Source organism: Homo sapiens, chromosome 9 (genome assembly GCF_000001405.40).
Source record: "Homo sapiens chromosome 9, GRCh38.p14 Primary Assembly".
Lineage (NCBI taxonomy): Eukaryota > Metazoa > Chordata > Mammalia > Primates > Hominidae > Homo > Homo sapiens.
The window spans coordinates 84,205,974-84,206,748 of record NC_000009.12 but is presented as its reverse complement, the minus strand read 5'-3'; the positions used below and the strand labels follow the sequence as shown (position 1 = coordinate 84,206,748).

Genomic DNA, 775 nt, shown 5'->3' with positions numbered 1-775 from the left:
TGACCAAACCCAGTGTGACGGAATGCAGTGCTTCTCACCCTCTTCTCCAGCGCGACCCACCTTACAGCTGTCTCAGCTCCTGCCTGTCATGAGCAGCAGCTTAATATTCACACACACACACCAGACACACACACTCGCACACATCATATACACACACCACACACATCCTACACACACACCACAACCCCACACACACACACCACCCCACACACACCACACACACACCACCCCACACACACCCTCCACACACACCACCCCACACACACACCGCACACACACACACCACACACACAATTCACACACACCCTACAACCCCCCACACACCCCCCCAACCACCCCCCACACACACAACCCCACACACACCCCACACACACCCCACACACAACTCACACATATCCTACATACACACACCACAACCCCACACACACACCACATACACCACCCCACACACACCACACACACACACCACACCACACACACACCACACACACACACCTCACACACACCCTACACACACAACCCCACACATACACCACACACACACCACACACACACAACTCACACACACCCTACACACACACAACCCCCCCCACACACCACCCCACACACACCACACACACGCCACACACACTCACCTCCCAAGAACAAGCAAGAAGCACAGAGATTGGAATTCTTACAAAGAAAAGCAATGCTTCCTGCCACTACCAAGCTAAAAAGCACCAACCACATCCACAGAGAGACTCATTAGAACACCCACCCATTACTATTGTCCAGC

At 53.7% G+C, this 775-nt stretch overlaps 1 annotated feature.

Annotated features, from left to right (window-relative positions):
• Positions 241-535: a silencer, noted in NCBI's record as "tiled region #11289; K562 Repressive non-DNase unmatched - State 3:PromF". NCBI's record gives its function as "represses a minimal TATA promoter and a strong SV40 promoter by Sharpr-MPRA in K562 cells {active_cell/tissue: K562}" and the evidence as "EXISTENCE:reporter gene assay evidence [ECO:0000049][PMID:27701403]".